This window comes from Homo sapiens, chromosome 2 (assembly GCF_000001405.40).
Source record: "Homo sapiens chromosome 2, GRCh38.p14 Primary Assembly".
Lineage (NCBI taxonomy): Eukaryota > Metazoa > Chordata > Mammalia > Primates > Hominidae > Homo > Homo sapiens.
The window spans coordinates 112,258,884-112,274,335 of NC_000002.12; the positions used below are offsets into that span (position 1 = coordinate 112,258,884).

At 39.6% G+C, this 15,452-nt stretch overlaps 1 pseudogene; it reads right to left on the bottom strand.

Moving 5' to 3' along the window:
- Nucleotides 1-12,387: 12,387 nt before the first annotated feature.
- On the bottom strand, nt 12,388-12,484 carry LOC124906182 (uncharacterized; annotated as a pseudogene).
- Nucleotides 12,485-15,452: the final 2,968 nt, after the last annotated feature.

A 15,452-nucleotide genomic window follows, 5' to 3' on the forward strand; every position in this document is an offset into this window, starting at 1 on the left:
AATGCCAATGAATTATATGCTTAAAAATGGCTGGTCAGACACAGTTGCTCACTCCTGTAATCCCAGCACTTTGGGAGGCCAAGGCAGGTGGATCATCTGAGGTCAGGAGTTTGAGACCAGCCTGACCAACATGGTGAAACCCCGTCTCTACTAACAATCCAAAAATTAGCCAGGCGTGGTGGCGGGCACCTGTAATCCCAGCTACTCGGGAGGCTGAGGCAGGAGAATCGCTGAAACCCGAGAGGCAGAGGTTGTAGTGAGCCGAGATGGTGCCATTGCGCTCCAGCCTGGGCAACAGAGTGAGACTCCGTCTCAAAAAAAAAAAAAAGTTGAAATGGCAAATTTTATATTTCTTTTACCAAAATAAAATAAAGCAGTTGGCATGTTAAAATGGTGAAATGGCCTGTGATAACTCAGCTCCAGTATGAGCTAGATATAATACCTTATGAGTATGTGCTATAAATCAACAATCACCAATACATGGTGCTGTTTCTCCCATAGCCAGTATACACAGGGTCTGGGAATCAAGGCTTCCAAGTGGGAGTAGGTCCTCTCTGTATTATTCCTAGTGATGCCCTAGAATAATGTTTGCTGCCTATCTCCACAACTTTGGGCTCTGCTGGTTTAGAGCAGACTTTTTCAACCGTAACATTATTGTCATTTCGGCCTGGATAATTGGGGACGGTCTTGCGCATTGTAGGAAGCTTGGCAGCATCCCTGGCCTCTGCCGCTAGGTGTCAGTAGCAGCTGTTCCCCAGTTGTGGCAACCCAAAATGTCTCCAGACATTGCCAAATGTCCTCTGCGGGGAGCAAAATCGTCCTCACTTGAGAACCACCGGTGTAGCGTTAATCCCAAAAGTAGGAATGTTTGCATCAAGGGGCGTGACAATGAGTCCATTAAACTTGAGGTTGAGACTGCCGTTTGGCCACCTTAGGATCCTCATGCCAGTGAATTAACAGGTAAAGAAGGGGCTTACTGTATTGGCAGGGGTGATTAATCCTAACTATCAAGTTATCCTGACTACATAATGATGTTAAGGAAGAGTATGTCTAGGATGCAGCTGATTTCCTGGGCGGGAGACTAAGTAATCCTATGCTCTATGATTAAAGTTAATAGAAAACACCACCACCACAGGCAGCACTGAAAGTGCCCCAAACCCTTCAGGCATGAAGGTTTGGGTTATCCACCTGTTATCAGGAGGGCACTTGAGTGTAAGTTGTGGTGGTCCTTGGTGTTTTCAACAAAGAATTAGACAAAACGCACAAAGTAACAAAGGAATGAAACACAGGGACGAAGCAGCAAAAGCAGGAATGTATTAAAGCGAGAAAGCACTCCACAGGGTGGGAATGGGCCAGAGCAAGCAGCTCAAGGGCCCAGTTGCAAAGTTTTCTGGGTTTTAAGTACTCCTTTTGAGGTGCTTATAGATGAAGGATTTGGTCTCTGGCTAATTAAAGGCTGAGGTGAATTGGTGCCCTATGTAGATGAAGCGATGGTCCCTGCCAGGCCCTCGGCCAATCCAGGGCACTTTCCTTTTCCATCTGAGATGTGGTAGATGGGGGAGAGTTGTAGGGAGAGTAGCCTTTGATCCTTTGCTACTCTGGTGTGAGGAGATGGGAAGGGGGGGTTCCTTTTGGTTCAGCTTTAGGATATTTACAGTAATTGGCCTTAGGATCCCTTCCCCCAGACCCAGGTGTTTTCCTTTTGATCCAGCTTTGGGAAGTCAGCGTGAATTGGCCTCAGATTCCCTGCCCCCAGACCTTGGTGTTTTTCCTTGATTCAGCACGAATTGGCCTTAAGTTCCCTGCTTCCAGACCCTATTCTCCTGCCTCACGCCCAGCAAGGAGTCAAGACCAGCTTGGGAGAGCAAAGAGAACACGGCAAAGAGTAGGAGCAGAAGGTAGTTGTACAAATATCAGCTGCAACTGATACAGGAGCTTAAAAGAAATTGTTTAGGCTGTTAGTGAGGGCAAGCGAGTCCTCAGTAAGGTTTCCCTTTTAATAAAAAAGCAGCTCCAAAATCATTTCTAACAAAGAGCAGCCTGAAAAATCAAGCAGCAGACGTAGAAAAGCAAGCTAGAACCTTGCAGAGGTAAATGCTGGCAGCTGTGCCAATAGAAAAGGGCTACCTAGGAGCCAGGCATATCCAACATGGAGGCTCCATCTTCCCTTTTCTTTGTCACCACATGTACAGTCAGGGAACAGGCAACATGGCACCAGCCAGGTAGCAAACCTATCTGCATAATAAAAGATTAGGGTGGGGTTGCTAGCTTCTTCAAGCACCATGTAAATGGCGCACCTGGTCCAACCAATCCTTTGCACCCTATGTAAATCAGATACCAGCTCCTCAAGCTCATCTATAAAACCACCCACATCTCTCCCTGAACCTGGAAATGTTGGGGACCCCTTCCTCTGCATGAGGCAGCTTTTCTCTTTCTTTCACCTATTAAACTTCTGCTCTTAAACTCCGTCCTTGTGTGTCCGAATCCTCGATTTCCTTGGCATGAGACAATGAACCTAAGGAATTACCCCAGACGAATGATGCTGCTTCCCAACTACATGACCAGTAGCAAAAATGATTGCAATATTTATGAATATATCATTCTTAATTTGATATAAATTTGTGGAAATATGTGTGTGGAATTACACACACATAGACACACACACACATATATTTAAAATTTTCCCTTCTACTATTCCCCTACCATCTAACACAAAATATGTTAATAGTAGTTAACTTTATATCTCTATTTAAGTTATAGGATATAAAAGGAGGCATGTGACTGAGCTAAAAAAAGAATTCAAAGAAGAATGAACATCACCCAAAAGTGAAAAAGGGACTTTTTATCCTTTCTTGGGAAAATGGGTAGCATGTTTTTGGTTGAATGGGGGATTGGTGCATCATGTTAGGCAGAGGCATGACTTTGCTATTGCTTTTATCTGAAAACTAAATATGGGTTAAAGAGATATTTATAGGTACCTAGTTAAAAAGTGTATACTTGGGCCAGGCGCAGTGGCTCATGCCTGTAATCCCAGCACTTTGGGAGGCCGAGGTGGGCGAATCACGAGGTCAGGAGATGGAGACTATCCTGGCCAACATGGTGAAACCCCATCTCTGCTGAAATACAAAAAATTAGCCAGGCGTGGTGGCAGGCTCCTGTAGTCCCAGCTACTCAAGAAGCTGAGGCAGGGGAATCGCTTAAACCCGGGAGGCAGAGGTTGCAGTGAGCCGATATCGCGCTACTGCACTCCAGCCTGGTGACAGAGCAAGACTCTGTCTCAAAAAAAAATAAGTGTATACTCGATGATTTTGTAATATGTCATCTTAGTGTATACTTGGTGATTTTGTAACATGTCATCTTAGGTAGGCTAACCCATGTTTTCCAGGATTCTTATCCTGCATATTTCTAGTTAGGGTGGACCACAAGATAGATTTTGCATAAAATTTGGGAGGTGGAGGTAAAACAGCAGCCATATTGCTTTTTACATTCAGGAGGTCAGTGAAGGGGCAGAAGATGCTATTGCAACTCATGCACATTGTTGTTTACTGGTTTACCTTGTTGATATGGGACAACAACAAGACCTGATATAACTCACCCCAGATCCTCCTTCAGATTTTCTAAATTCTGGGCCAAGCATGTCTTTAGTTCCACGATAAAGGGCTCAAGAGTCTCCTGCACAACACCTACGTCATTAAAGTAGAGCAGATTAATACAGGTTCTGGGTTTATGCTCAGGGATTCTAGATTGTCTTCATTCTCCCCCACTTTACATCCAACTTCCCTTCCTGAATATGTGCCTTGCAGGTCTTAAAAGTTTTTTAGACAAAGTCTTGCTTCATCAGTGGCACAATTATAGCTCACTGCACTCCCATGGGGTCTCACTGTGTTGCCCAGACTGGTTTCAAACTCCTGGCCTCAGCAATCCTCCTACTTCACCCTCCCAAAGTACTGGGATTATAGGCATAAGCCGCTGTGCCTGGCCCCACCTTGCAGCTCTGAAGCTCCAATATCAGACAAGAGCTTTACAGACTGTTTTAAACAGCTCCCACAATTGCATAAGGTCAAATCCCTGTAAATCTAGCTAGCTATCATCTGTCATCTATCTATTTATTTATCTTCTAGTGATTCTGATTATCCAATTAGACTTTGAGTAATAAGATGGCTTTAATAGAGTAGACAGGGTTTAAAAGAAAATTAGTGAACTGGAAGATAAGTCAGAAGAAATTATCCAGAGTACATCATAGAGAGACTGCCACCCAAAAAAGGGAAGTTACAAAAGAGATTATTATAAAAACATAAATAATAGATTTAAATGTCTAACATATAACTAATAATAAGAAGAGAAGAAAAAAAGAAAGAGGAGGAGGACATATTTGAAAAGAAAAGGCTGGCCAGGTGTGGTGGTTCATGTCTATATTCCCAGCACTTTGGGAGGCCAAGGCAGGTGGATCTCTTGAGGTCAGGAGTTCAAGACCAGCCTGGCCAACATGGTGAAACCCTGTCTCTGCTAAAAATACGCAATAGCCAGGCATGGTGGCCCACACCTGTAATCCCAGCTACTCGGGAGGCTGAGGCAGGAGAATCACTTGAACCCAGGAGGCGGAGGTTGCAGTAAGCCAAGATTGTGCCACTGCACTCCAGCCTGGGTGACAGAGTGAGACTCTGTCTCAAAAAAAATAGAAAAGAAAAGAGAAAAAGAAAAAGAAAGAAAAGAAAAGACAGACTTTTCCAGATTGTTGAAACTCAGCAATTTACAGATCAAGCATTAAACAAATACTAGGCAGGATAACTAAAAGAAATCCATACTAAGACACACCATACTGAAACTACAGAAAAGCAGAGAAAATATGTAAAATAGCCACAGAAAAGTTTTAAAAGTTTACCTTCAGAATAATGACAATTAGACTGCCAGCTGTCTTCACAGCTGCAACAAGGGAATCCAGAAGACAATAAAATTATATCTTCAATAAATTGAAAGAAAATAAAACTTCTGAACTAGGATTCTATACCTTGAAACAATATTATTCAAAAATGGAGGTGAGCTATAAGATGTATTTAGGAAAACAAAAACAGAGAGGTCACTATGAGCAAATTATTTAGGAGATTCTGAATAAATTTAGAAATTAGAAAGAATGAATTTGATAGCAGCAAATCTCAGGTGCAGGTTTGAGTTATAAGAAAAAAATGGACAATGAAGAAACTGATCATTCTAAGTAAATATTTAGTGAATAGAACAATATTACTAAGGTATTTGGTAGTTAAAGTTTATATATGATGGGATTTCTGGTTCTAGGTAACATAGTAAAAGCACATTATAGTCCCTGAATATAGGTTTACCTAGATAGGATGCACGGAATTGCTTGAAGACTCTAGAAAGTAATTAACGCAGGCAGATTGGTGAAGAAGATGACAATTCAAAGTACCACTGAAATAGCGTTAAGTTTTTAATTTTCTTTTTTCTGTGGTCCTCCTGCCACTAAGCCCAGACATAGGTACAATTGCAAATGTATGCAGAAGTGGGGGTAACTGAAGCTCAAGCTTTCTGGTTGGACAACCAAAAAATAAAGCTCCAGGGACCTGAAAAATTTTCTAGGAGACCATAATGAAGAAGGGGCCTAGAAAAATGACATCATAAATTTCTGAACCCCCGGGCTTACCATATAGTTGCCCATGCATGGATCTGATCCTAATTGGCATGCCAAAGACTTTTGAGAGTTGAATAGACATAATTCATCCATGTCCTGACTGGTCCCTGGTAGTACAGATCTAAGATTCAAATAACATTGCAAAGGCATCCAGTTGAACAGGCACTGGAATCGCAGTGGGTTAGAAATCGAGGCCTGAACCTAACCGGGTCTATTACCAATAAAAACAAAAATATAAACATTCTGCATAAGATTTAACTAAGATCCAGAGGTTTTATAGCATATTATTATTCAGAATCTCCAGGATACAATTCAAACTTATTTGGCATACAAAGAACCAGGAAAATCTCAAATTGCCTGGGAAAAGACAATCAACAAATGCCAAAGCTGTGATGACTTATATATTGGAATTATCTGACAGACTTTGAAACAGCTTTTTATAAAAACGCTACACTAAATGCCCTTGAAACAAATGGAAAAAGTAGAGCATCTCAGTAAAAAAAGAGAAGACATAAAGAAGAACCAAATGGAATTTTGAGAACTGAAAAATATAAAAACTAAAATTAAAAACTCAATGAATATTCAAAGACACAATAAGTAAATCAAATATGGAATATCCCAAAATGTTAAAGCAGAAAAGAAAAAAATGGAAGAGCAACAAGAGAATGAATAAAAAAAATGTTAAAGATAGACTTAAAATCAAACATATTAATAGGTACATTGGATGCAAGTGGGATAAATTTACCAAATAAAACAAAGAGATTGTCAGAATGGATAAATATGATCCAGCTGTGTATTCTCCACAAGAAACTCATTTTATTTTATTTTATTTTATTTATTTTTTTGAGATGGAGTTTCGCTCCTGTCACCCAGGCTGGAGTGCAGTGGCACAATTGCAGCTCACTGCAACCTCCACCTCTCAACTTCAAGGGATTCTCCTGCTTCAGCCTCCTGAGTAGCTGGGATTACAGGCGCACTCCGCCATGCCTGGCTAATTTTGGTATTTTTAGTAGAGATGAGGTTTCACAATATTAGCCACGCTGGTCTCGAACTCCTGAGCTCAAGTGATCCTCCCACCTCAGCTTCCCAAAGTGCTGGGATCACAGGTGTGAGCCACCACCCCTGGCAAGAAACTCACTTTAAACATGATATGGATAGGTTAAAAGTAAAGGTTGGTAAAATACATACTAAGAAACACTAAACCAAAGAAAGCCAAAGTGACTGTATTAATATCAAACAAAGTGGACCTTAGAGTAAAAAATTAGCAGAGATAAATATAGATGTTGTGTAATTACAAAAAGGCAAATTCACCATAAAGTCATAATAGTCCTAAATAGGTATGCACAAATATACAAAGCACATGGAAAATTCACCAAGATAAACCATAAACTGGGTTATAAAATAAACTTTAACAAATGTAATAGTATTGAAATAATAGAGAGATATTTGCTAACCATAATGGAATTGAATAAGAAATCAATAATAAATAACAACAACAACAACGAAACCTCCAAATACTTGGAAATTAAACAACATACCTCTAAAAATTCCATAGGTCAAAGGAGGATTCACAAAGTAAATTAGAAAATATCTTGAACTGAAGCTGGGTCCAGTGGCTCACACCTGCAATCTCAGCACTTTGGGAGGCTGAGGCGGGTGGATCACTTGAGGTCAGGAGTTCGAGACCAGCTTGGCCAGTATGGTGAAACCCCGTCTTTACCAAAAATTAGCTGGGTGTGGTGGCACGCACCTGTAATCCTAGCTACTCGGGAGGCTGAGGAAGGAGAATTGCTTGAACCAGAGAGGAAGAGGTTGCAGTGAGCCGAGATTGCGCCACTGCACTCCAGCCTGGGCGAAAGAGCAAGACTCCGTCTCAGAAAAAAAAAAAGAAAGAAAGAAAGAAAGAAAATATTTTGAGCTGAATGAATGTGAAAATGCAACATAGCAAAATTGTGAGATACGGCCAAAGCAGTGTTTATAGGAATTTTAGAGCTCTAAATACTTAAAGATCTCAAATAAATAAACTTCTACCTTCAGAAGTTAGAAAAAACAAGCAGAAAGAATGATATATTAAAGATAAAGGCAGAAATCAACAACAGATAAGAGCAGAAAAACAATAAAGTTAAACCAAAATCTAATTATTTGAAAAGATAATTGATAATCTCTAGCAAAACTGAAAAGAAAAAGGAGAAAAGATACAAATTACCAATCAGACATGAAAGAGGATATTTCAGTACAGACTCCAGCGATAATTAAAAAAAAAAAAAGTCAATTTTATGAAACCCTCTTAGATTAAAAGCCAAATCCTCACAAACCACAAACCATGTAAACTCATCTAAGGTAAAGTACACAATCTAACAGAACAATAACTATTGAAGAAATTAAATTCATAGCTTAAAACCTTCTAAAATAAGAAATCTCAAGCCCCAGATGGTTTTTCTGGAGAATTCTACCAAACATTTAAGGAAGAAATACCAGTTTTATATGATCTCATGCAGAAAATAGAAAAAAAAGGAACACTTCCCAAATTATTTTATTAGGCATGCATTAATCCAATTCCAAAAACAGTCAAAAACAAAGAAAGAAAACTGCAGACCAATGTCCCTCCTGAACATAGATTTTAAAATCCTTAACTAAATGTTAAAAATCAAATCCAACAATATAAAAAGAATAATATGCAACAACTAAGTGGAGTTCATATCAGAAATATAAGGTGGTTTGTTATTTGCAAATCATTCAGTGCAATCCAACATGTTATGAGTCAAAACAAGAAAAACTATATGATCTCATCAACTGATGCAGAAAATTATTTGACAATATCCAACATCAATTCAGCAAATTAGGCATAGATAGATTTCCTTAACAGAAAGATTTCCTTAATAGACAAACCTTAACAAATGTCATAGAATTGAAATAATATAAAGTATGTTCTCTAACTATGGTGGAATTAAAAAAGAAATCAATAATAAATAACAAAAAACCTCAAAAACCAAAAAATAGATAGATATCCTCCATCTGATAAGGGCATGTCAAAAACTATGGTTACTAGCATACTTCATATGATTGAATGCTTTCCCTCTAAGATTTTGAAAAAGCAAGAGATATAAAAACTGAAAAAATGGCAATTTTTAACATAAAAAATAAATGAAGAAAGTCATTTTTCTGAGTGAAAAAAGCCTTACACAAAACAGCATTTATTCTATTTATAAATCACACCATGTTTTAAATCAGGCAAAACTAATTTACAGTGAAAAAAGTCAGAGGAATGGTTGCCTCTGGATGCAGATGAGGATTGAATGGGCAGGGGCGGAGGGAAATTTCTAGGGTATGGTCATGTTTTATGTTTTCATAAGGATTTGGGTGACACAGGTATATGTATTTTCTGCATTTTTCAGAACTCATCAAATTGTTTTCTCAAGATTCTGCACCTCACTGTATGTAAAATTTACCTTAAAATGGTACTGCAAAAATATTACATTCTAATTAATGATTTGTATGCTGAAGTGTTTAGAAGGTGCTATAGACTGAATGTTTGTGTTCCTCCCAAATTTATGTTGAAAATTTGAAATTTTGAAATTCAGTATGTTGAAACGTAATCCCCAATGTGATGGTATTTGAAGATGAGGCCTCTGGGTGGTGATTAGGTCATGAGGTTGGAGCCCTCTTGAATGAGATTAGTGCCCTTATAAAAGAGAACCCAGAGGGCTCCCTTGCTGATTCCACCATGTGAAGACACAATGAGAAGACAGCCATCTGTGAATCAGGAAGCTGGCCAAATCTTCTGGCACCTTGATCTTGGACTTTCTGACCTCAAGAACTGTGAGAAATAAATTTCTGTTGTTTATAAACCACCAGTCTATGATAATTTGTTATGGTGGCCCAAACAGACTAAAACCAGTGAAGTCTGCAACTTACTTTGAAATGTGTCTAAAGACAAAATCAACTGATGGATGGATAAAGGAAAGAATAGATAGCTAATAGTGTAATAAATATGGTAAAATGTTAACAAAGTAACAAGTAACAGAGAAAATTGGGAGAAACCTCTGGAGATTCCATGGCAATGGTGGAGTTTGTGGGACTAGGTGCTGTTTTAAACTGACGTCTGTGGGTTGGTGTCTTAGTATGTTTTGTGCTGCTGTAACAGAATACCTGAGACTAGTTGACTTAGAAACAACAAAAATGTATTCCTCACAGTTCTAGAGGCTGGGAAGTCCAAGATCAAGGCACTGCCATGTGGCCTGGTGAGGGCCTTCTTGTTGTGTCCCCACTGGTGGAAGATGGGAGGGCAAGAAAGGGAAGAGCACCATGTCTTCACATGGTAGAACAGCAGAAGAGAGAGAAACAACTCCTGCAATCCCTTTTTATGGCAGCATGAATCCATTCATGAGGGCAAACCCCTCATGACCTCTGCACCTCCCATTAGGCCCCACTTCCCAATACTGTTGCATTGAGGATTAAGTCCCCAACACATGAATTTTGGGGGACACACTCAAACCATAACAGTTGGTGTCTTGGGCCTGGGGCAGGAAGCAGCTTGGGAAGGTTGTGAGAAGATAAATTAGAAAAGAAACAGTTCCAATTGTGCCCTTGTTTCCCTCACCACTGCCTTGGACAGACAGTGACCCACATTTTATATTGGTGTCCTCCAGGCTAAAATCAGGGTAGTACAGAGCCTTGAGCTTGTGAAATGCTAGAAAAACAATGAAAAAAAAAAAAAAGACTCATCAGACAGAAACTAAGAGAAAGGTTTTATAGCTATATGAATATTTAAAAAAAAGATTTAAAAGACTTTAGGAAAAACAGCATCACTAGAAATGGAGAAAGTTACTAAATAACTTACTAGGAAGGGAAAACAACTTTAGACACTTTTGTACGATATCCTTGTAATAAATGAAGAATATGTGATATAACTATAAAAGAAGTGGAGAAATACATCATTGTGAGGGATTTAAATTACTTTACTTGATTGTTTTATCAAACAGATGAAGAAAAATCAGCAAGGATATAGAAAATAAGAACTTTACAATGAATAATCTTGACCCACTGGACATATATAGAGTTCTGCATTTAACAATGAGAGAATTTACATTTTTAAAGCACAAATGGAACATTTACAAAAATGAATCTTATACACAAACCCTCAAAATTGTAAAGAATAGGTGTTATACAGACCGTAATTTATGACCTCATGGCAGTTAAGCTAGAAGTTAAAAACACTGCTAAGTAACTCATGGGTTAAAGAGTAAATTATAATAAAAATTATAAAATAACTGAAAATAAAAATACCACATGTTAAAACTTATAGGATTCAGCAAAAGCAGTTCTTCAAGAGAAATTTATAGACATAAATACTTATAATAGAAAAGATACATCAAAATTAATGAATGAAGAAGTTAAAAATAAAATAATAACCAAAAAAGAAAGCAGGAATAAAGATATAATATGATTGAGTGAAAATTGATGAGACAGAGACAATAAAAATAAGAGTAAAAAATTATGACCTACAGTAAAAAGTGAATTCTTAAGGAAAAAAATCAATGAATCACTTATATGAGAATTTTTTTCAACCAAACTTGGGAGTATCGGAGGGGTGCAGAAACCAGCATATACAAAGGACCCACTTTTCATATAATAGAGTTGCCAAGGCCGAGTATGCGTGGATTTTGGTATATGCAGGGGTCTTGGTACCAATCCCCTATGTATGCTGAGGGATGACTGTCTATAAAATCCCCAGATATCATCCTAAATGGGAAAACTTTATAGTCATCTCCTTGAACATTGGGAAACAAGACAAGTATATCCAATATAACCACTTCTATTTAACACAGGATTGAATGTCCTAGTGCTGGAGATCCTAGCCAGGGCAGAAAAAGAAACTGGAGTCTAAGGATTGGAAAGGAAGAAATAAAACACTAGGTATGTTGTAACTTGTTATGCAGCAACAGAAAAGTAATACAAATACCAAATGCTTAGGAATAAATCTATAAAAGATGCAAGATATTTATATAAATGAAAGACATATAGGAAAAATTTCAACATTGTATTAAGAGATATGAGTCCTAAATAAATGGAGAGATATTACATATTCACAAAATGAAAGACACAACTAAGCAATTGTCAGTTCTTTCAAAATTGGTCTATCAATTCAAGGCAATGCTAATAAAAATCTCAAGTTTTCTTTATGGAACTTGATAACTCTAAAAGTTCTATCAAATTATAAATTCTAAATGACTACTTCTAAACTCTATATTAAAACTTAAGGCCGTGTGTGGTGGCTCAATCCTGTATTGCTAGTACTTTGGAAGGCTGAGGCTGGAGGATTGCTTGAGGCCAGGAGTTCAAGACCAGCCTGGGCAACACAGCGAGCCCCTGTCTCTACAAAAATAAAGACATAGGAAAAAATTACAAAATTGTATTAAGAGAAATGAGTCCTAAATAACACAGCGAGACCCTGTCTTTACAAAAATACAAATAAATTAGCCAGCCTGGGCACATAGTAAGACCTCGCCTCTACAAAAAATAAGCCAGATGTGATAGAGTGTACCAGTGGTCCCAGCTACTTGGGGCAGTGGGGGGGTGTGGACAGCGGGTGATGGCGGTGGCTGAGGTGGAAGGCTGCAGTTCTAGTTCTTGTATTATCTAGTGTGATATCTGTGATACATACACTCCTCCTTATCTGAGGCAATTAAAGACAAGGTGTCACAGATCACTAAGCACTATAATTGTGCCACTGCACTCCAGCACATCTGGATGTACTGAGGTCATAACAAGGCTTGATGAGGCACATCTCACGCGTGCACATGAAAATCTAATCATCATGCTTATGAGCTGCAAAAGAATTGGAGGCAACATTTTAAAAGTACTTTTTCAGGCTGGGTGCTGTGGTTCACACTTGTAATCCCAGCACTTTGGAAGGCCCAAGCGGGCGGATCATCTGAGGTCATGAGTTAGAGACCAGCCTGGCCAACATGGTGAAACCCCGTCTCTACAAAATACAAAAATTAGCCGGGTGTGGTGGTGCACGCCTGTAGGCCCAGCTACTCGGGAGGCTGAGACAGGAGAATCACTTGAGCTCAGGAGGTGGAGGTTGCAGCGAGCCGAGATCATGCCACTGCACTCCGCCTGGGTAACAGAGTGAGACTCTGTTTTAAAATAAAATAAAAGTACTTTTTCAAAGACATGGCTACTGTTCAGATGCTTGTATTTTTAGGGTGTGTGTGTGTGTGTTAAAAACTTTCCAGTGACTAACACAAGTATTCATTTGTAACCTCAGTGTGTACTGTACGGGGAATTATTCCTGCCAATTTAATTCTAACTCTAAGCCCCTATTCCGGTAGGTAGACAGAAAACAGTTGTAACTGGGGCTCCCTCCCCCTGCCTAGGGCCACATATACATTTAGGGTTTGTATAAGCTACCAGGAAGGATGGGGTAAGGGTCCCCTAATCTTCCAGCTAGGATGATCACCTAGGAGACCGTTTTTGTCCCAAGTCTGACCAGTCTCCGAATGTCTAGTGGTCCAATATTGGGAGCCTTGGTATACCAGGGCTTATTCTTACCATCTGGGACAAAACACGGGCAATAAAAGGAATTTTTCTTAACACTAAATGTAAAGGAATTCAAAGTAAAGTAATTGGCTTTTTAAAGTATATCCTTGGCCAGGCGCGGTGGCTCACGCCTGTAATCCCAGCACTTTGGAAGGCCGAGGCGGATGAATCACTCAAGGTCAGGAGATAGAGACCAGCCTGACCAACATGGCAGAAACCACCGTCTCTATGAAAAATACGAAAATTAGCGGGCATGATGGTGCGTGCCTGTAATGCTAGCTGCTACTCGAGAGGCTAAGGCATGAGAATTGCTTGAACCCAGAAGGCAGAGGTTGCAGTGAGCCGAGATCGTGCCACTGCACTCCAGCCTGTGAAGTGAAACTCTGTCTCAAAAAAAAACCCAACAAAAACCAACGAAACAAAAATAATGATATCCTTCCTACTTTCTTGATGTTAAAATGTCTTTTATGAAATAACCGTAAGATGTTTAATATGTTTAATTTATTTAGCAAAATAAAGTGTTGGTACCTTTATGTCCGTTACAATTTTTGTGTGGATAGAGGGTGGGGAAGGTTGACAAAGATAAAAAAACCTGGACATTAAAGTGGTGAAAACCAATTTTATTCAGTAATTACTAACAGTAGGGGAAAGAGCAGCGTTCCATTTCAATGCAGAGATAATTGAGCAGCTTAAAGAGAGAATAAGGGAGGGGGAAAGAGCCGGAATACATGCAAAACATTTCAAAGTCTGTCAGTATAAAAGTGATTAGATCAGCTGCGTCAGCTAGCTGGCGATTATCACTGAAGTCAGGATTCTACCCTCCCACCAAGAATGGGAGATAGCAACCTTCCAGATGATTAAATTTCAAAGGAATGGCTTTCAGGTCCTTAAGAAAGATACTCCTGAATTGTAGGAGAGAACACATACGTGTCAAGGGGACAGAGGAAGGACTCACAATTGTAAGCTCTTTTTTTGTAAATGCTCCAAGAAAGGGGGTCAAGGGCCTATGGCCAGGTGGGCAGTGTTGAGTTTTCTCTGGGAGACATTTAACCGAGAGGCCCGGGGAGAGATCTGCGGTCATCCTACGAACACGACCTTATGCTGCTACAAGGCTCGCTATAGTTTGGTGGTCTCCTTTTGCTGAGGTTTGGACAAGGTCATTACGTGACAAGAGTTCTGCAGTTCTCATGATCCATATGTCATTATTAGGTAAAATCTGTTAGGTTTAAAATTAATTAGTGTAATCTCTTTGATACCTACATTGCTCCTTAACTGAGGCAATTAAAGACAAGGTGTCACAGATCTCTAAGCACTTCTAGATTCTAAAAACCCATAGCCTCAAAGGAGCACTGCCCCTCAATGCTCACCCCCACACACCTCCCCTTTCTGTTACCTAGAGAAAAAGACCAAGACCTGATGACAAATTTTACCATCAAACTTAAGTGGCGCATGCCAACGGTTCGAAAAGGAGGCTTTTCATCCAGAGAGAACTGCACTGTCCTACGCCATCACAAACCAAACACCTTAACGAAGGCTTGAAAGAAATTCTCAGACCTCCAGATACAGGAGACAGGGGAAAACAGAAGTGCAAGAAAGAACAGCAACTGTTTACCACAAGGGCCTCTGGATAACTTCAAGAAAGCAGTTACCCAAATTAGCTACAGAAAGGCCTAAATTAACTAAAACAGTTACGATAAAACCGAAGTCCTGAGATTTTAATGTAACTCCAAATGTTAACATAGTTTCTTCATAGTACCTTCATAGTACCTTTTGAAAGCTCCCTACAAATTTATTATGGTAAAGTGTGGCTATAAGTACAGGTCCTGTCACTGGCTGCATTCAACTGAAAAAAAAAAAAAAATAGTGCGACCACAGCTCCTGTCACTGGCTGTATTCAACTTTAAAAAAAAAAAAAGGGGCGACTTTTTTTTTTTTTTAAGACGGAGTTTCGCTTTTGTTGCCCAGGCTGGAGCGCAATGACTCGACCTCGGCTCACCGCAACCTCCGCCTCCCGGGTTCAAGCGATTCTCTTGCCTCAGCTTCCCGATTAGCTGGGATTACAGGCATGGGCTACCACGCCTGGCTTATTTTTATTTTTAGTAGAGACTGGGTTTCTCCATGTTGGTCAGGCGGGTATCGAACTCCCGACCTCTGGTGATCTGCCCGCCTCAGCCTCCCAAAGTGCTGGGATTACAGGCGTGAGCCATTACGCCCGGCCTTTATTTTCAATGTATATGTTAATATCAAAAACTTTACATTTCCA